General features: G+C 47.7%; 1 protein-coding gene across 5 annotated transcripts in view; it reads left to right on the forward strand.

Moving 5' to 3' along the window:
• FAM3B (FAM3 metabolism regulating signaling molecule B) overlaps nucleotides 1-16,610 on the forward strand; it is a 53,486-nt gene that overhangs the window by 12,036 nt on the left and 24,840 nt on the right. Inside the window, exons 1-2 of one of the 5 annotated variants that reach the window (NM_058186.4) lie at nucleotides 524-621; nucleotides 6,646-6,789. In NM_058186.4, coding sequence (NP_478066.3) covers nucleotides 603-621; nucleotides 6,646-6,789 — 163 coding nt within the window. In that variant the 5' untranslated portion in view covers nucleotides 524-602. Of the gene's footprint in view, nucleotides 1-523; nucleotides 622-4,059; nucleotides 4,579-6,645; nucleotides 6,790-16,610 lie in introns of those variants that run through there. The other 4 variants (XR_007067791.1, XM_011529648.3, XM_011529649.3 and 1 more) reach the window with 4 other exon arrangements.

Here is a 16,610-nt window from a genome sequence, read left to right on the forward strand (position 1 = left end):
AGAATGAATTCATCATCCTGGCAGTAAAAGAGAAAACAAGAGGTGGGGCGCCTGCTAGGCTGGGCTGGGCTGGCAACAGCGAGCCTGTAGCGACTGTTCTGGAGGAAGCAAAGAAGACCGATGGCCTCAGACAGTGGACATGGACGGCGAACTTGGACTGGGCTGGGCCTCTGCTTTGTCATTTGAAAGGCTTGGGTCATGCTTCCCTTTCCTCTTGGGAGACATTAACTGGGAGCCTAGGGAGCCAAAGTATCAAGTGGCGTCGTTTCCTCCCTTCAGAGCCAACCTTGCTGGGCTTCTCCGGTCAGATCAGCCCTGGCCCGGGGTCAGCCCGGCGGGGAACGGGTCCACCCTCCGCCAGCGACCTCAGAGCTCCCGGGCACAGCCCGGGGCACAGCCCCGCGCACCTGCCCCGCCCACGCCCGCCCCGCGCACCTGCCGGGTCCGCACCTGCCATTTGCCCGACTGGCCGCGCACCCAGCTGGCCCGCCCCTGCCCGACACGACCGCTGCCCGCCCCTTGCCTTCCTGACCCAGGGGCTCCGCTGGCTGCGGTCGCCTGGGAGCTGCCGCCAGGGCCAGGAGGGGAGCGGCACCTGGAAGATGCGCCCATTGGCTGGTGGTGAGTGCGCCCCCGCCTCGGGGCGAGGGTAGGGGCGGGGAAGGAGGACCCCAGGGGAAGCGTCGCTCCCCAACCCTGCCTGGGACCCGCCACGCTTAGCAAAAGCGGGAGGGCTGGTTCTTGGCGCCGAGGCTGGTCTTAGACCTGGGATCAGGAATGCGGGAAGCGATTCCAGAGGGGGCGAACAGCGGGGGTTTCCAGCAGGGTTCCCCGACCCTGTTTCCCCGCGCTCGCCAGGCCTGTTCCCGCCGCCCCAGCCGGGGTGCATGGGATTAGGGAGGAACCTGGAATGTAACACTGTAACATTTTACTTGGAAAGTAGATTGGTGGGGAGCGCAGGCACAGCCCCGCACCCCCACCCCCCACCCGGGCTCTCCACGCTTCTCCTTCCGGGGAAGGGTACGCGCCTGCCCCTGCCCCTGACCTTGCACGCCAGGGAGGGGCTGGCCGCTGCCAGTTGGTAAGGCTGTTTTTATTTTTTCCATTTTTCAAACGACTTGACACTGTGGACGATTTGGAAAAATAGGAAAAAGGAAAGGAGAAACCCATTATTTTGACCAGTCATCGCGTTTCTTGCAGTCTGTCTTAGCTGCGCCTCTGTCCTCTGTCACTTTCCTGTCACAGACCATCTCGGGTCCTGGTGTCCACTGCCCTGGCCTCTGTCACACATGCCCTTTCTAATTGGTTTTGCGGGTCTCCTCCTATAATCTGAAGAACATGGATTCCTCCTGGAGCGACGTAGCCTGGCTGTGTAAAATGGCAGGTTCAGAAGTGGGAAGTTCTCTGGGCCTCTTCGGTAGATCACTTCCTGGTCCTGGATCCCAGGTCCTCTGTAGTGAGGGTGTTGGACTGAACCATCGCCATTCCTGCCAGCACCAGCATTCTGGCTGTGATCACACTCCAGCAAGTTCTAAATGCTCTCTTTTCTGCACCATTCCCAAATGTAGGAAAGCCGCATTTTAAGATTTTTGCCTCGTGTAAAATATTCATATTTTCCTTAAAAACTATAAATGACACTGTTTTCGATAACTTGTGTGGATTGTAGGAGAGATATGTATCTCCTCCCTTAGGGCACCGACTTTCATTATAGCTATTCTGGAAAAGTGTTTTCTATTATTTCTGTATTGTATAATTATTATTTCCTGGTGACTTATGGACAATACTGAATATGATTACATTGCTTTCCCTCAGCCAGGACTTTTTCACATCCGGACCTCATGATTCACTCATGAGCTGTGGGGTCCTTTCGTAGGAAGCTTCGAGATGACACCAGGTTTGTATTTATCCAGGTGTATTTGATTGTGGAGAAGCTGCCCAGGGAACTCAGAGATGCCTCACTTTTGATTTTATGAGCTAAAGATCAGGAGACATTATTGGAGTGGGCCTTGCCCTGGACGCTTCTGTCCAGTGCTGGGTTTGTTTCAGGCAGACGTTCCCAGGAGGGACATTCAGACTGAATGGGAGGAGCAAGTTGAGCTGCCGCCATGCCTTCGCCTGCAGGGCCTGGTAGTGGGTATCGTAATACCTTGAAGTGGGCGTTGGCCTGTGGACCGTCAAGGCCGGTTACGCTGCACTCCTGCTGTGGTGTTTCAGAGTGGCCCTTCCTAGCCCTTCTGCCAAAAAGGCTCAGTGCACAGGACAGTGATGACAGTGGACACTGAGGCCAGCAGAGCCTGGGATCCCAAAGGCAGTGAGTCCCAAAATACTGACCATCCACCCTCATCTCTCCTGGCCTCTCAAGTACAAAAGGTGTGGGTGTGGCCTTCATGGTGAGGTGATCTGAATACATATTGGTAAGACAGCAGTGAAAACAGCTTCCCTGTCCTCGTTCAGGTTGAAGGAAATCCCGTCAATAGACCTGGGTCCTAGGGCCTGAGATTGCCCTTTTTAGGTGGCCCTTGGACTGGAGGGAGGGAGAGAGCCCTAAAATCCTCCTACCTGTAACCCAGTGTCATATCCATTTGGTTTCAGTATTACTTTCTTTCTGGCACCTTTTAAATGTTTATTGTTTACAGACAGGGTCTTGCTCTGTAGCCCAGACTGAAATGCAGTGGTATGATCATAGCTCACTGCAGCCTTGAACTTCTAGGTTCACGAAATCCTCCTGCCTCAGCCTCCTGAGTAGCTGAGAGTGCAGGCACATGCCACCATGCCCAGCTAATTTTTTTAAACTTTTTGTAGAGATGGTTGCCTATGTTGCCTAGGCTGGTCTTGAACTCCTGGCCTCAAGTTGAACTCCCGGGTTCCTTAGCTTTCCAAAATGCTGAGGTAACAGGTGTAAGCCACTGCACCCAGCTTCTGGCTCTTAAGTGAAGCAGCCAGGACCCTCCTGAGACCCCTGTGGATCTGAGAGTGGGGATTGGCTGGGACATGTGTACATGTACCCACACACATGCACACAGAGGCAGACACGCTAGAGGTGAGTCTCTTAGGAGAAAGTTCACTAGCTTTCCCCCTGTGCTAAGAACGGCCTTTGCTCTAACACTCATCCTGTCTGCTGGGCAGCAAGCACAGTGGAGGAGATTTCCGTGAGCTGATGATGACTTTATTACCTTACAGGGAAAGGCAGGATCCTGGTTTCAAAATCTCAGAAGTGTTCCTGGACTCTGTGCTTCCTCCCCCACCTCTGAAGCTGCTGGGTCTCCTCCCATCGGGGCAGGCCCACTGGGGCTCCGCGAGTCATCTTAGTGGAAGCCCTGGGCTCCTAAGCTTTCTTCTTCCCAAGTGTGTCCCAGCTTCAGCGCTGATTCTTCCCTACTGCCTGGTGTCTGAGCCTCTGTCTTGACAGGCTGCCTCGGCTCCTGCCCATCCTGCTTTCATCCCCAGGACTGAGCTCTGATTGCTGGTGTCCAACCCACAGAGAGGCTGTGCCACAGCTCGCCCGGTGCTATGTTGGGGCTGAATTGTGCCTTCCCCCTGCCAACCCCCCAACCCCATTTACATGTTGTAGTCCTAACCCCTGCCCAGTACCTCAGAATGTGACTGGATCTGGAGATAGGGTCGTTAAAGAGCTATTTCAGATATAGTGAGGTCATCAGGGTGAGCCCTGATCCAATCTGACTGGTGTCCTTATAAGAAGAGGAGATGAGGACACCCACAGAGGCCCTGTGAGGACACAGGGAGAAGATGCCATCCACAAGCCAAGGAGAGAGGCTCAGAGGAAACTTGATCTTGGACTTCCAGCCTCCAGAATCTTGAGAAAATAAATTTCAATTTCAATTTTTTTTTAAGAGATGATGTCTCGCTGTCATCCAGGCTGGAGTGCAATATTGCAATCGTAGCTCACTGCAACCTCAAAGTTCTGGGCTCAGGCAATCCTCCTGCCTCAGCCTCCTGTGTAATTGGGACTACAGGTCTGTGCCACCACACCTGACTATTCTTTTTAAAATTTTTTGTAGACATGAGGTCTCATTATGTTGCCCAGGCTGGTCTCAAACTCCTGAGATCAAGCCATCCCTCCACCTTGGCCTCCCAAAGTGCTGGGATTACAGGCGTGAGCCAACGAGCCCAGCCGAAATTTCTATTGTTGAAGCCACCCAGTTGGTGTTAATTTGTTACAGCAGCCTGAGGAAATGATGCTGCCTGCCTGGATTTTGTCTGTCACCTCCTGGCTACTATGTCCTGCCCTCCCTCTAGCGGCTGGGATACTTCCATGACTTTGTGCTAGACCTGAGCACAGGCTGCTGGTTCAGCTCATCACCCATCTTCTGATGATGTCCCGATCCCAGTGCTGGCGGCTGGATCTGCCTCCCACCCAGGAGGTGGTTCAGACTCTAGATCATGGCTTCTCCCAGCCAGCTGCATGCTGCACTCCAGATTGTCCCCAGCCTAGAGGTCATTGGATGCATCCCTCACCCAAAGCACAGATACTCTCTAGTCTTCCTGGGAGTCCTGAAAAGTGTCCCGGAAGAGAGCTCCCTGCCGCATCAGGACCCGCCATGGGCTACCCTTCTTCTTGTGAGGACACTTGGCTTATTTATTCTCCGTTTTCTTCTCTGTCGTGTCCACATGTTTGTTTTTGTTCAGCTGGGGCCACCGTTACCTATTCCTTCATGTAGCTGCTTGTTACACATTCAAAAGGTAAATAATGTTCCTTTTCAGCCTTCTCCAAGCTAAACAGCAGCTTGTTGCTCAGGATCTCAGGTGTGGCGTGTTGTCTAGAAGAGCCCCTGAACATTGTCTGGTTAGCCAGTTTCCTTCTCCAAATACAACACTTGGATGAAACAGTCCAGCTACGACCCACATGCACAGAATACAGGGCACGGCCTTTTCCTTTGAACGTGTTCTGCTGCTGTCTTAGCCCACTCTGCACTCTGTTCATCCAACAGAATTTTCTGGAAAATCAGCGACCCACGCGGTGTCACAGGCATGCTGGGTGGCCCTGGAGGGAAGCATCTGTGGTGTCTGTGTGGGCGCTGTGGCTGGGCTGTGTAGGGGAGAGCACCCTCTAGGCAGAGATCACTCCTGCAGAGGAGTGAGCCCGGGAGTGCAGCGCCCGCAGGTGGCTGAGCACAACCGTTGGCGCAGCTGCGGGAGAGGGGCCTGCAAGCCTGCACCTGTCTCATTTTGTTTTCTGTGTCTGGTTTATCTGCTTTGAGATGACCTTCCAGTCCTGAAAACTGCACTGATCACACTGCCTTGGGCCTCTCCCCAGAGGAAACCACCTGTGCTTACTAGTCTAACAATCTTAGCAGTTTGGAAATTCGAAATTTAAAAATGGTGTTGAAATATGCACTCAAAAAAGCAAAACAAAACCAAACCCCAAGGCTAACCAGAAACATCGCGTTCTATCCCCATGGCTCCCTCTGCTGAAGCGCTGGGCCTCCAAGCAATAGCACACGCTGCCTTGGCGCAGCATAGCCGGTGCATGGGTCGGGGACAGCTGCGCTCCTGAGAAAGGAAGGATGATCTCTAGGTGCTGGAAGTCAAGCTGAGGTCCAGAACTGCACCCCGGGTGGGGCCCATTGTCAGGCCCTTCAGACTTGACATTCCCTTCTCTTCCTTTCCTTTTTCCTCCTTTCCTCATTTCCCCTTCACTTCCTTCCTTCTTTCCTCCCTGTCTCTCTCCCTCCTTCCCTCCTTCTCTTACTTCTTAGGACTGTCCCTATTAGCACATATTTAAATGCACTGGGCACATACCCCAGTACCCATCCTACTCAGGGCCTGTGGTTATCCCTGCATCGTAGCAATCTGGGTAAGCAAACTGCTGAATAAGTTCTGATCTATGCTATATTTAGGGAGCAAACTCTAAAAGCCCTGGCCATGGGTTGCCAATGAAAAGACAGAGAGCCACCCCCCAGGCCTCTGGTGACCCAGGAGGAGATCAATGCCTTTTCCTTGGAAATCGTGCCACTCATGTCAAACAAGAGAAGTAAGATATTGTTGCCAATCAACCAGAAAGATATCTCCACGGACTTTCTGTCACTGGGAACCTTGACTGGCCCAGCAGGCACATCCGGGATGATAGAACAGGTTTGGGGACTTTTTCCCAGTATTACGGGGCCAGGCCTTGATCCAGCAGGAATACGTTGCATGCTTGCTGGGCATCGGCTACTATTCCCAGTGCTGGTGATATGGAAATCAACAAAACAGACAGAGCTTTACCCCTGAAGGTTTCAATGTAATTGCAGGAGCGTGCTCAAATCCAGTTGTGTCTCACAAAGGGAATGAGGCGCTTTTGTTTTTTCAGGTTCACGTTGGGCATGCTGGCTCACAAGGTGCTTGATTAGCTGCTTTGACATAAACGTTCAAGGACGTTTGTTGGTTAAGTTAAGACCTAAACCAACAGCAAATACAACTTGCCCTGGAAAGCATTCCTGTCTTGTTTGTATTCTCTGATACTGTCTACTTCAAAGGTCCTGACACCGCCTCCCACCCTGGGAGCCTCCTCCCAGGAGCACAGTGCCTATAGCGCAGTCCCCTGACACTGGGCCGGGATGAAAAGCCACAGGGGGGATGGGGAGGGCCAAGGGCCAGGGCCGCCACCAAGTCGTTCACAGCAGCTGCTTGGTGTCCTCTCTGCAGGCCTGCTCAAGGTGGTGTTCGTGGTCTTCGCCTCCTTGTGTGCCTGGTATTCGGGGTACCTGCTCGCAGAGCTCATTCCAGATGCACCCCTGTCCAGTGCTGCCTATAGCATCCGCAGCATCGGGGAGAGGCCTGTCCTCAAAGGTGAGTGCCGTGCTTGGGGCAGACGGCTGCCTTCATGGCTTGTGTGCAGAGGGAGGAGTGGTGGTTTCTGTCCCAGCTGGAGGCTGGGGGGCCCTGACGGCTTTATATCAGGAAGGAGGAGGAGAGAAGCATTTTGCAGTTACTCATTTAGGTCCCACGCCATTCCAAGGCACGTGCCGCTGCTGACCCCATGTGAGACTAGAACAGTGTGGCTTCTGGTTACCAGCACAAACCTGCAGCCAGACCTTGAACTGTGCTCTTTCCGCCCAGATCTTGGCTTCCTCCCCTGGGAAGCACAGGAGGGTCCAGGTTCTGAGATCCCGAATCATTTTAAGGTTTCTGTCGGACTGAAGAGCTGTTGGAAAATCTTCTGTAAAGTCTTGGGAAGCAAAAGCTAGTAATTGAGTAGATGTGAAAGAAAGGGCAGACATTGTATGTCGGTGAACACACGGCCTCAACCATCAGCTTAGGAAAGGCCCAGCTCTCTGTAGGGCGGCTGCTTTCTGTCCTTCCCCACAATCAAGGTGGGTTTTCTGAGAGCCTGCTGTGTGCTGGGCATGTCCAGGAGCTAAGGAGAGACGGAGGACAAGCCCACGAGGTCCCTGCCCCTTTGGCACTGATACCCTAGTGAGGGGAGGTGACAGCTTAACGCATGAACAAATGAGATTCGAGAGAGGATGGGTGGGGAAAGCCTCTGAGAAGGAGGTGACAATTGAGAAGCATCTCAGTGAAGCAAGGGAGTGGGCCATGCTGGGTTCTGAGGGCTGTGTGCCAGTTTGGGAGCATCATGACTTAGTCTACCCAGATTACTGTAAGAGAACACCATAGACTGGGGGCCTTATAAACAACGCATTTATTTCTGACAGTGTTGGAGGCTGGGAAGTTCAAGATCAAGGTACCCGCAGATTTCATGTCTGGTGGAGACCTGCATTCTGCTTCATGGATGGCTCCTTCTGGCAAACGAGGTCTCTGAAGCTCCTTTTATAAGGGCACTACTCCCATTCCTGAAGGCTTCATCTGCCAAAGGCCCCACCTCCTAACACCAGCACTCTGGGGATTAGGTTCCAACATATGAATTTCAGGGGGACACATTCAGTCCACAGCACATGAGTTGCAAACTGGGGGCCCAGAGACAGACCTGTCAGAGACAAGATTTGTCTAAAAGCAAAACACATAAAATATGGACAAGTATTTCAAAATCAAGAGATCTCCCATAAAACTCCATGTTAGAGCATCTCTTGAAACAGTAGAAGCTCTGATACCCCAGGCCCTCATTCCTGCAAGGCCATGATCAGCCACAGCTGGGCAGGCTGTGGTTACACAAGGGCGAGAGTATGGCCAGGACCAAAGGGATTCATCCAGTGGCCAGTAAAGTCACAGGAACAGGGAAGAAACAAGGAAAACGAGGTCCTTGTGCTTTATACATAGATTATCTGTAAGTCACACTGATCACTATGTTCTTTACTTCCTGGTTTCAATCTTATTTTACAATACACATTCTGGGACAGACTGAATTATCGCCGAAGGAAATGCCTACTGTGAAAGTCCATTTATTTATTAATTCAGCAGGTATATTTAGTAACAGCATCCCTCTCTGGGCCGTGGTCTGAGTGCACGTGTTTTAAGGTTCATCCTTTACTTCTAAGAACCTCAGAGTCTACTAGAGAAGAACTTAAAAGCCAAATCATAATGTTAGGAAACTGAACAAAGAAAATTAATGTGCAGCGTATGTTGAACAAAAATATGCATTTGGGGCCTGGCGCAGTGGCTCACACCTATAATCGCAGCACTTTGGGAGGCCGAGGCGGGCACATCACCTGAGGTCAAGAGTTCCAGACCAGCTTGGCCAACGTGGTGAAACCCTGTCTCTACTAAAAATACAAAAATTAGCTGGACATGGTTGCAGGTGCCTGTAATCCCAGCTACTCGGGAGGCTGAGGCAGGAGAATAGCTTGAACCCAGTAGGTGGAGGTTGCAGTCAGCCAAGATTGTGCCACTGCATTCCAGCCTGAGTGGCAGAGACTCCTTCTCAAAAACAAAAACAAAAAGAAAACAAAACAAAAAACATATATATGCATTTGGAATACAACTCCAATTGGGAAGGGGTGAAAGAAGCATTTGGGTGCCAAATGCACACCCAGCCATACTACCTTCACTGTACTCAGAGGCACCTAATAAATCATGAGCATTGATTAGCAGAGAAACACTCTTTGATGGCTTCTGGTCTTTGGTTTTTGCGGACTGGACTTTTAATCTCCTATAGAACAATGAGGTAGTTGAAATGGTCAAAATGCCATATGCAAACAGCCACCTTCTTTGTTTGCCTGGTCTATATTGTCAGGATCTTATTTCATGACTCAATATTTCTAGTGACTTTGCATGGATCTCCTACCCTCTGGAATAATCTTCCTCATTTATAGGAGTTAAAATGAGATCATAGTTCCCAAATCAGGAAGTATTTTTAAAAGACAGATTCCTGGACCCCACTCTGGGAAATTCAAAGCTCCCTAGGTCCAGGGTGGAAGCCAAGAACCTGTATTTATTTTAATTTGTTTTAAAACTTGGCTTCATACAGAGCCAAATTTGATCATCCTGGAACTAAACGGTCACTATGGTTTCTTTTAAATCTAAGGTTCTTTGTGATTTGTATCTAAATTTCATAAAACCTCCTCTCCACCCTTCCAAGTCCCAGTCTACATATTCCTGTGGTTACAGCATATCTGGGGAAAGCCACCAGGAGAGTCCGGACGCAAGGCTGTGCGAGCTCTATAGCTGGGTTCTCATTGCTGTCGCTACTTTCAGAGCTGGGTGAAGCAGCTATTGTATTATAAACCAGGAGCTGCTCGTGAGGATGAGGAACCAGGTGGATTTTCCTCAGCAAGAGAATAATTTCTCAGACTGAAACTGATAGCAGAAGGCTGACTGCATCCTAGGGAATGGTGTTGCTGCTGGAGGCTTTCAGTCTTAAACAAACCAGCTTTTCATGAGGCATAAGAAACAGGAGACTAAATAGAAGGTCCGCCGTTCTCCCTGGCTAGGACACTGGCTTCTACGTAAGCCACATGAACTTTACCTTTTGATTGTTTGGGGGAAGGAATTTCAGGAAAAGCACTGAAGACCTAGATGTGGTTCTCCAGGCAGGGTTTGGAAAGAGCTGTGTTTTCCCAGGAGCTGTGTCCACCCTCCAATCCCACACTGAGTTAGGAACATGGTCTTCTTTCTTCATTCACGTGGTGACACATTGTGCTTCTGGGAAACGGATGGGGGACTCAGAAAGCTACTGACTCTTTTTTTAAATGACACATGGGTTCCCTGCCCACTCCCAGGCCCTGTGAGGAAACACAAATGCCCATCTGTGTGTCACCCATAGTCACTAAAGCCACATACTCCCTGGAGGATATGAGGCACATCAAACACCTCCCTTCTGGAAAGCCCTCCTGCGCATGTCCACACGAAACAGGACTCTCACTTTGCAGAGCGCCAGGGGCTGCAAGTCTAGAAGCTGGGGAGGAGGCCATGCTCATGGCTGACGGGCTGCCAGGCCCTGGCGTGGGGACCTGCTCGTTCTGCTGCCGATCCCGTAGGGGAAGTCCCTGGGGAGAGCATCCCTATGGGACCCCCACAATGGCCCCGCTGGAGACGCCAGCACCAGCCCTTTGGGTGAGTGTCCTGGGTCCAAGGGTGGGAGTGCTGGGCAGGCCTGTGTAGTAGGCCTGTGTACCCTGAGCCCCAGCCCCTGAGGCAGGAGGAGGAACAGGAACAAGTTAGGCTAGAACCCAGCCCACTGTTCTGCACCTGGGGCCCTTTTCACCCAAGCTCCTCGTTTCCCTTCACCTAAGTTTAGCAGCTGCTGCCTCTGCCTTGGGAACCTGTCATGGGATTGAGGCCAGGCCTGGTGCCCTTTGATCATTGCAAAGGCTCCCAGTGCCTGTTGGTGCCAGAGCCACGGAAAGCCAGAAAACAAAGAATGAGGATGTCAGGTGGGAGGAAGGCCCGGGTGCCCTGTGGCCCTTCAGCCTCCCAGGGTGCTCTTAAAAGAAATATTTAATGCATCTGAAATAAACTTTACCTGGAAAACATTTACTGCTAGTTTTAGAATGAAAAATGTATTTTTAGGTCAAAACTGTTATTCGATATGTTTGCAGTCACAGCCCTTAGCTAAATCACAAACCACGGATTCTTTTATAAATCTTTCCACCATTTCTGGAAAGAAGTACTCCTTGGCTTTGTTATTCTCTCCTCCCTTATTAATTAAAGGTTTAACTTTGAATTTAGGCTTAACTTCTCTGTGCTTCCTGTATTGCTTTTGAGGCTTATTGACCAGAACGTGTGACTTGCACAGGAGCCAGAATCATCCCAAAGGTTAGTAGAGGTTGGAGAAATATGAGGACCAGATATTTATACCAGTTTAGTTGCAAAGAGACCCTGCCTTATTCACCTTGCATTCCCATTTCCATTTGTCTTAAGATATTTTTTAATTTCCTTTTGATTTCTTCTCTGACCCATTGGTTGTTCGGGAACATGTTGTTAAATGTCTGCATATTTGTAGATTTCCTGAAATTACTCTTGTGATTAATTTCTAGTTTCATACCCTCATGGTGGGGATCTTCTCTTTGCCTCGTTTGTGGAGTCTTCAGACCATTTGCTCACTTGTAATAGTTCAGCTGGCTTTACCACAAAGTAAAACTACCTTTTCTATCTTCCCTTGCTACCTCTTGTGCTAAGCTGCTGCCATACTGTTGTCCTAATGACCACACCCTCCAGGATGCAGAGGTGGTTTTATCTTTTAGGAGCCATCAGGGCCGTGGATGTGGCATGCCATCCACCTCTGTGAGTAAGTGCACCACACCTGTCAGCATGCACAGTGGGTCCGTATAGAGGCGCGAGTCCTCTTCACCCTCCAGCTGAGAGGATTCTGTATCTAGTTTACTCCGTGCAGCATCCTGATGATGACAAGAGGAGCTGGAAGTGTTTCTGAGACACAATTCATAAGTTTCTGACAGCAGGGCCTGGTTAAACGAACCATGGAGCTGTCTTGCTGAGAACAGCACTGCCCACGGGAAAGTGGACAGGTCTGTGCGCTTGTGAAGGGAACAGGTCACGTACACTAAAGGGGAGCGCGGGCTCCAGGGAGGATTCCTGAGTATTCCCATTCATGTATTCTCTCTGAATTGAGTACCCATACACAGGGTGTCTGCAAAGTTGGAAACCAGGACACACCTACTTTTAAACTGTTAGTTACATTTTCAAATGCTATATTCAACGTGTTTTCAGGCGAATACCTAGGTAATGAGTATAATTATTAAATTGAAAAAAGGTACTAAAGACAGAGTGTCCAAAAATCTAGAAACACTGGAAAAAATAGTCCATTTATAGCACGTTTTCATATGAGCAATTGGACGTTTGCTTTAAATTTAGGTATCTGGAGACTGACCAAAAAAAAAAACATTAAGTTAATTATTTGAAAAGTTTCACCACTTTGGCCAGGCTGGTCTCAAACTCCTGACCTCAGGAGATCCATCCGCCTTAGCCTTCCAAAGTGCTGGAATTACAGGCATGAGCCACTGCGCCCGGCTGAGAATTTTTAAAAAGGGAGAAGAAACTGTAGGCTATTTGAGTGTTAACTGCTAAGAAGAATAAATTAAAACAGGGAGTGGGGCTAGGTGGTATTGGGGTGAGCTGGAGTGTTGAGATGAGACGGGGCAGTCAAGGAGGAAGGTCTGAAGGAGGGGAGCCAGCCTGCAGGGTTGGTGTGAGCACTCCCAGGAGAGCTCTGTGTTTTCACCTACTGGGGACGGAGGACTGTGGTCACCAAAAAAACCCAGACCACGTCCAGCTCGGCCCTGGCAGCTTGCTCTGATGTCGCAGCACTTCTGTGTGCCCAGTTTTCTCCAGCAGGCCCTTCCAGCACCAGTGCTGTTCACCCTGGTCATGATAGCTTTTATCTTTAATTAATTCGTTGACAGCATGTGTTGATATACGTATACGTTGTGGAATGGCTGAATCAAGCCACTTAACATGCATCACCTCACATATTTAGCATTTTTATGCGATGAAAACACTTAAAATCTACTCTCATGGTGATTTTCGTGTATACAATACAGTAGTTCCCCCCACTTATCTGTGGTTTTGCTTTCTCTGATTTCACTTACCCTTGGCCATTCACAGTCCAAATATACTAAATGGAAAACTCCAGAAAAAAGCAATTTATATGTTTTAAATTGTGTGTCATTTTGATTAGTGTGATGTAATCTCACACCTTCTCGCCTTGTCCTGCCTCATCCCACGGGGGACGTGAATCCTCCCTTTGTCCAGCATCTCTGTGCTGCACGCACTCCCTGCCTATTAGTCACTTAGGAGCCAGCCTGGTCATCAGATTGACTGTCACAGTATCTGTGTTCAAGTCACCTTTATTTTACTGAATAATGGCTCCACAGAGCAAGAGTAGAGGTGCTGGCAACTTGGATACGCCAAAGAGAAGCCGGAAAGTGTTTTCTTTCTTTTTCCTTTTTTTTTTTTTTGAGATGAAGTCATGCTCTGTCATCCAAACTGGAATGCAGTCACACCATCTTGGCTCACTGCAATCTCCGCCTCCTGGGTTCAAGCGATTCTCCTGCCTCAGCCTCCCAAGTAGCTGGGATTACAGGTGCTCACCACCTCACCTGGCTAATTTTTGTATTTTTAGCAGAGACGGTGTTTTGCCATGTTGGCCAGGCTGGTCTCGAACTCCTGACCTCAGGTGATCCGCCCACCTCAGCCTCCCAAACTGCTGGGATTACAGGCATGAGCCACCATGCCCAGCTAGAAAGTGCTTTCTTTAAGTGAAAAGGTGAAAGCTCTTGATTTCATAAGGAAAGAAAAAAATCATTTGCTGAATTTGCTAAGAACTCCAGTAAATACAGTAAGATATTTTGAGAGAGACCACATTCACATAACTTTATTAGAGTTAGTTGTTGTTAATTTCTTACTCCAACTAATTTATAAATTAAACTATATTGTTAATTGTTGTTAATCTCTTACTCTGCCTAATTTGTAAACTAACCTTTATCATAGTTATGTCTGTATAGGAAAAAAAAAAAAAAAAACATAATACAGGTACAGCATCCCAAATCTGAAAACACACAATCTGAAATGCTTCAAAATCCAAAACTTTTTGAGCAGCGACATGACACTCCAAGGAAATATTCATCAGAGCGTTTTGGATTTTGGATTTTCAGGTTGGGGGATGTTCAACTGGTAAGTATAATGCAAACATTCCAAGATCCAACAAAAATTTGTAACACTGCTGGTCCCAAGCATTTTGGATAAGGTATACCCAACTGGTATATATAGGGTTCTGTACTATTTGTGGCTTCATGCATCCACTCGGCATCTTGGAATGTACCCCTTGTGAATAACAGGAGGACCACTGTATATTGTTATTAACTGTAGTCACCATGATGTGCAATGGATCTCTTGAACTTATTCCTCCTGTGTAGCTGAAACTTTGTACATTTTGACCAACATCTTCCCAAACCCCTGAACCTCTGGCCACTGGTAAGTACCATTCTCCTCTCACCATCCTGCTCTTTGCTTCTATGAGTTCAACTTGTTTACATTCCACATGTGGGTGAGAACACGTGGTAGTTGTCTTTCTGTGGGTGCGTTATTTCTGTTAGCATACTGTCCTCCATGTTCATCTACGTTGTCACAAATGACAAGATTTCCTTCTCTTTTAGGCTGAATAGTATTCTATTGTGCACTCTGTTATACCACATTTTCCTTATTCATTCATTCATCGATGGGCACATAGATTGATTCTGTATTTGGCTATTGTGAATAATGCTGCAGTGAACCTGGGAGTGCAGATCTCTCTTTGACATACTGATTTCATATCCTTTGGATATATGCTCAGATGTGAGATTGCTTTATCATATATTCTACTTTCAATTATTTGAGGAATCTCCATACTGTTTTTCCATAATGGTTATACTAACCTACATTCCACCAATAGCATATAGGGTTTTCTTTGCTCCACATCTTCACCAACACTCATTATCTTTCCTGTTATTAGTAATAGCCATTCTAACAGGTGTGAGCTGATATCTCCTCATGCGTTTGCATTGCCCTGATTATTAGTAATATTGAACATGTTTTCATATACGTTTTAGTTATTTGTATGTCTTCTTTGGAAAAATCTTTATTCAAGTTCTTTATCCATTTTTCAATCATGTTTTTTATTTGTTTTCTTGTTATTGGTTCTTTGGGTTCCTTGTATGTTTTGGATATTAATCACTTATCAGATTTACACTTTGCAAATATTTTCTCCCATTTTGTAGGTTGTCTCTTCACTCCGCTGATTGTTTCCTCTGCTGTGCAGAAGCTTTTTGGCTTGATGTAATTCCCTTTGCCTGTTTTTGCTTGTGTTGCCTGTGCTTTTAGGGCATATTCCCCAAATCATTGCCCAAACCAACATCATGGAGCTTTTCCCTTATATTTTATCTAGTAATTTCATGGTTTCAGGTTTTATGGTTAAGTCATTAATTTATTTTGAGTTGACTTTTTATGTGGTGTGAGATGAGGATCTAATTTCATTCTTCTGCATATGGATATCCAGTTTTCCCAATACCATTTATTGAAGAGACTGTCCTTTCTCCATCAACTTGAGTTGATGTTATGAAGTTAACTGTGAGCTTTTCATATGTGGTCTTTATTGTGTTAAGGAACATTCCTTTATCATGAAAGGATTTCAATTTTGTCAAATTCTTTTCTTGCTTCTGTTTTCTGTCTAAACCATATGACATTATCATACAGTTTTTGTCCTTCATTCTGTTGATGTGGTAATCACATTATTGATTTGTGTATGTTGAATCATACTTGCATCTGTCCTTGCAAGGACAGATCCCACTTGGTCATGGCAATTTCGTTTGGATATTTGGCCCTGCCCAAATCTCATTTGGAATTGTAATTCCCAGTGCTGGAGGTGGAGCCTGGAGGGAGGTATTTGGATGATGAGGGTGCATGCCTCATGGCTTGGTGCTGCCTTCACGATAGTGAGTTCTTGTGAGATCTGGTCATTTAAAAGTGTGTGGCATCTCCCCCTGCCGCTCTATCTCACTTGCTCCTGTTTTCACCATGTGACATGCCTGCTCCCCTTCACCTTCCACCATGATTGTGATTGTAAGCTTCCTGAGGCCTCCCTAGAAGTTAAGCAGATGCCAGTACCAAGCTTTCTTTAAAGCCTGCAGGACCATGAGCCAATTAAACCTCTTTATAAATTACTCAATCTTAGATATTTCTTTATAGCAATGCAAGAATGGACTAATACACATGGTGAATGATTTTTTTAATAGCTTGTTGAATTCAGTTTGCTAGTATTAATATTTTGTTGAGGAATTTGGCATCTACGTTCATCCGGGATATTGACCTACACTTTTATTTTCTTGTAGTGCCCTTGTCTGGCTTTGGTATCAGGGTAATGCTGGCCTCATAAAGTGAGTTTGGAAGCATTCCCTCCTCTTCAATTTTTTGGAAGAGTTTGAAATTGATTGGTATTAGTTCTTTAATTGGTTGGTAAAATTCAGCCATGAAGCCATCTGGTCCTGGGATTTTTTTTGATGAGAGACTTTTTATTACTGACTTCGTCTCCTCACATTTATTGGTCTGTTCCTTTTTTCGGTGTATAATTGTCCACAATAGTCTCTTACGATACTTCAGTGTGTCTGTGGTATCAGCGGTGATATCTGCTCTTTCATTACTGATTTTATTTGAGTCTTCTCTTTCTTTTTTTCTCAGTCTAGCTAAGAGTTTGTCAATTTTATCTCTTTTCAAAAAACCAAGTC

Source organism: Homo sapiens, chromosome 21, assembly GCF_000001405.40.
Source record: "Homo sapiens chromosome 21, GRCh38.p14 Primary Assembly".
Classification (NCBI taxonomy): Eukaryota; Metazoa; Chordata; class Mammalia; order Primates; family Hominidae; genus Homo; species Homo sapiens.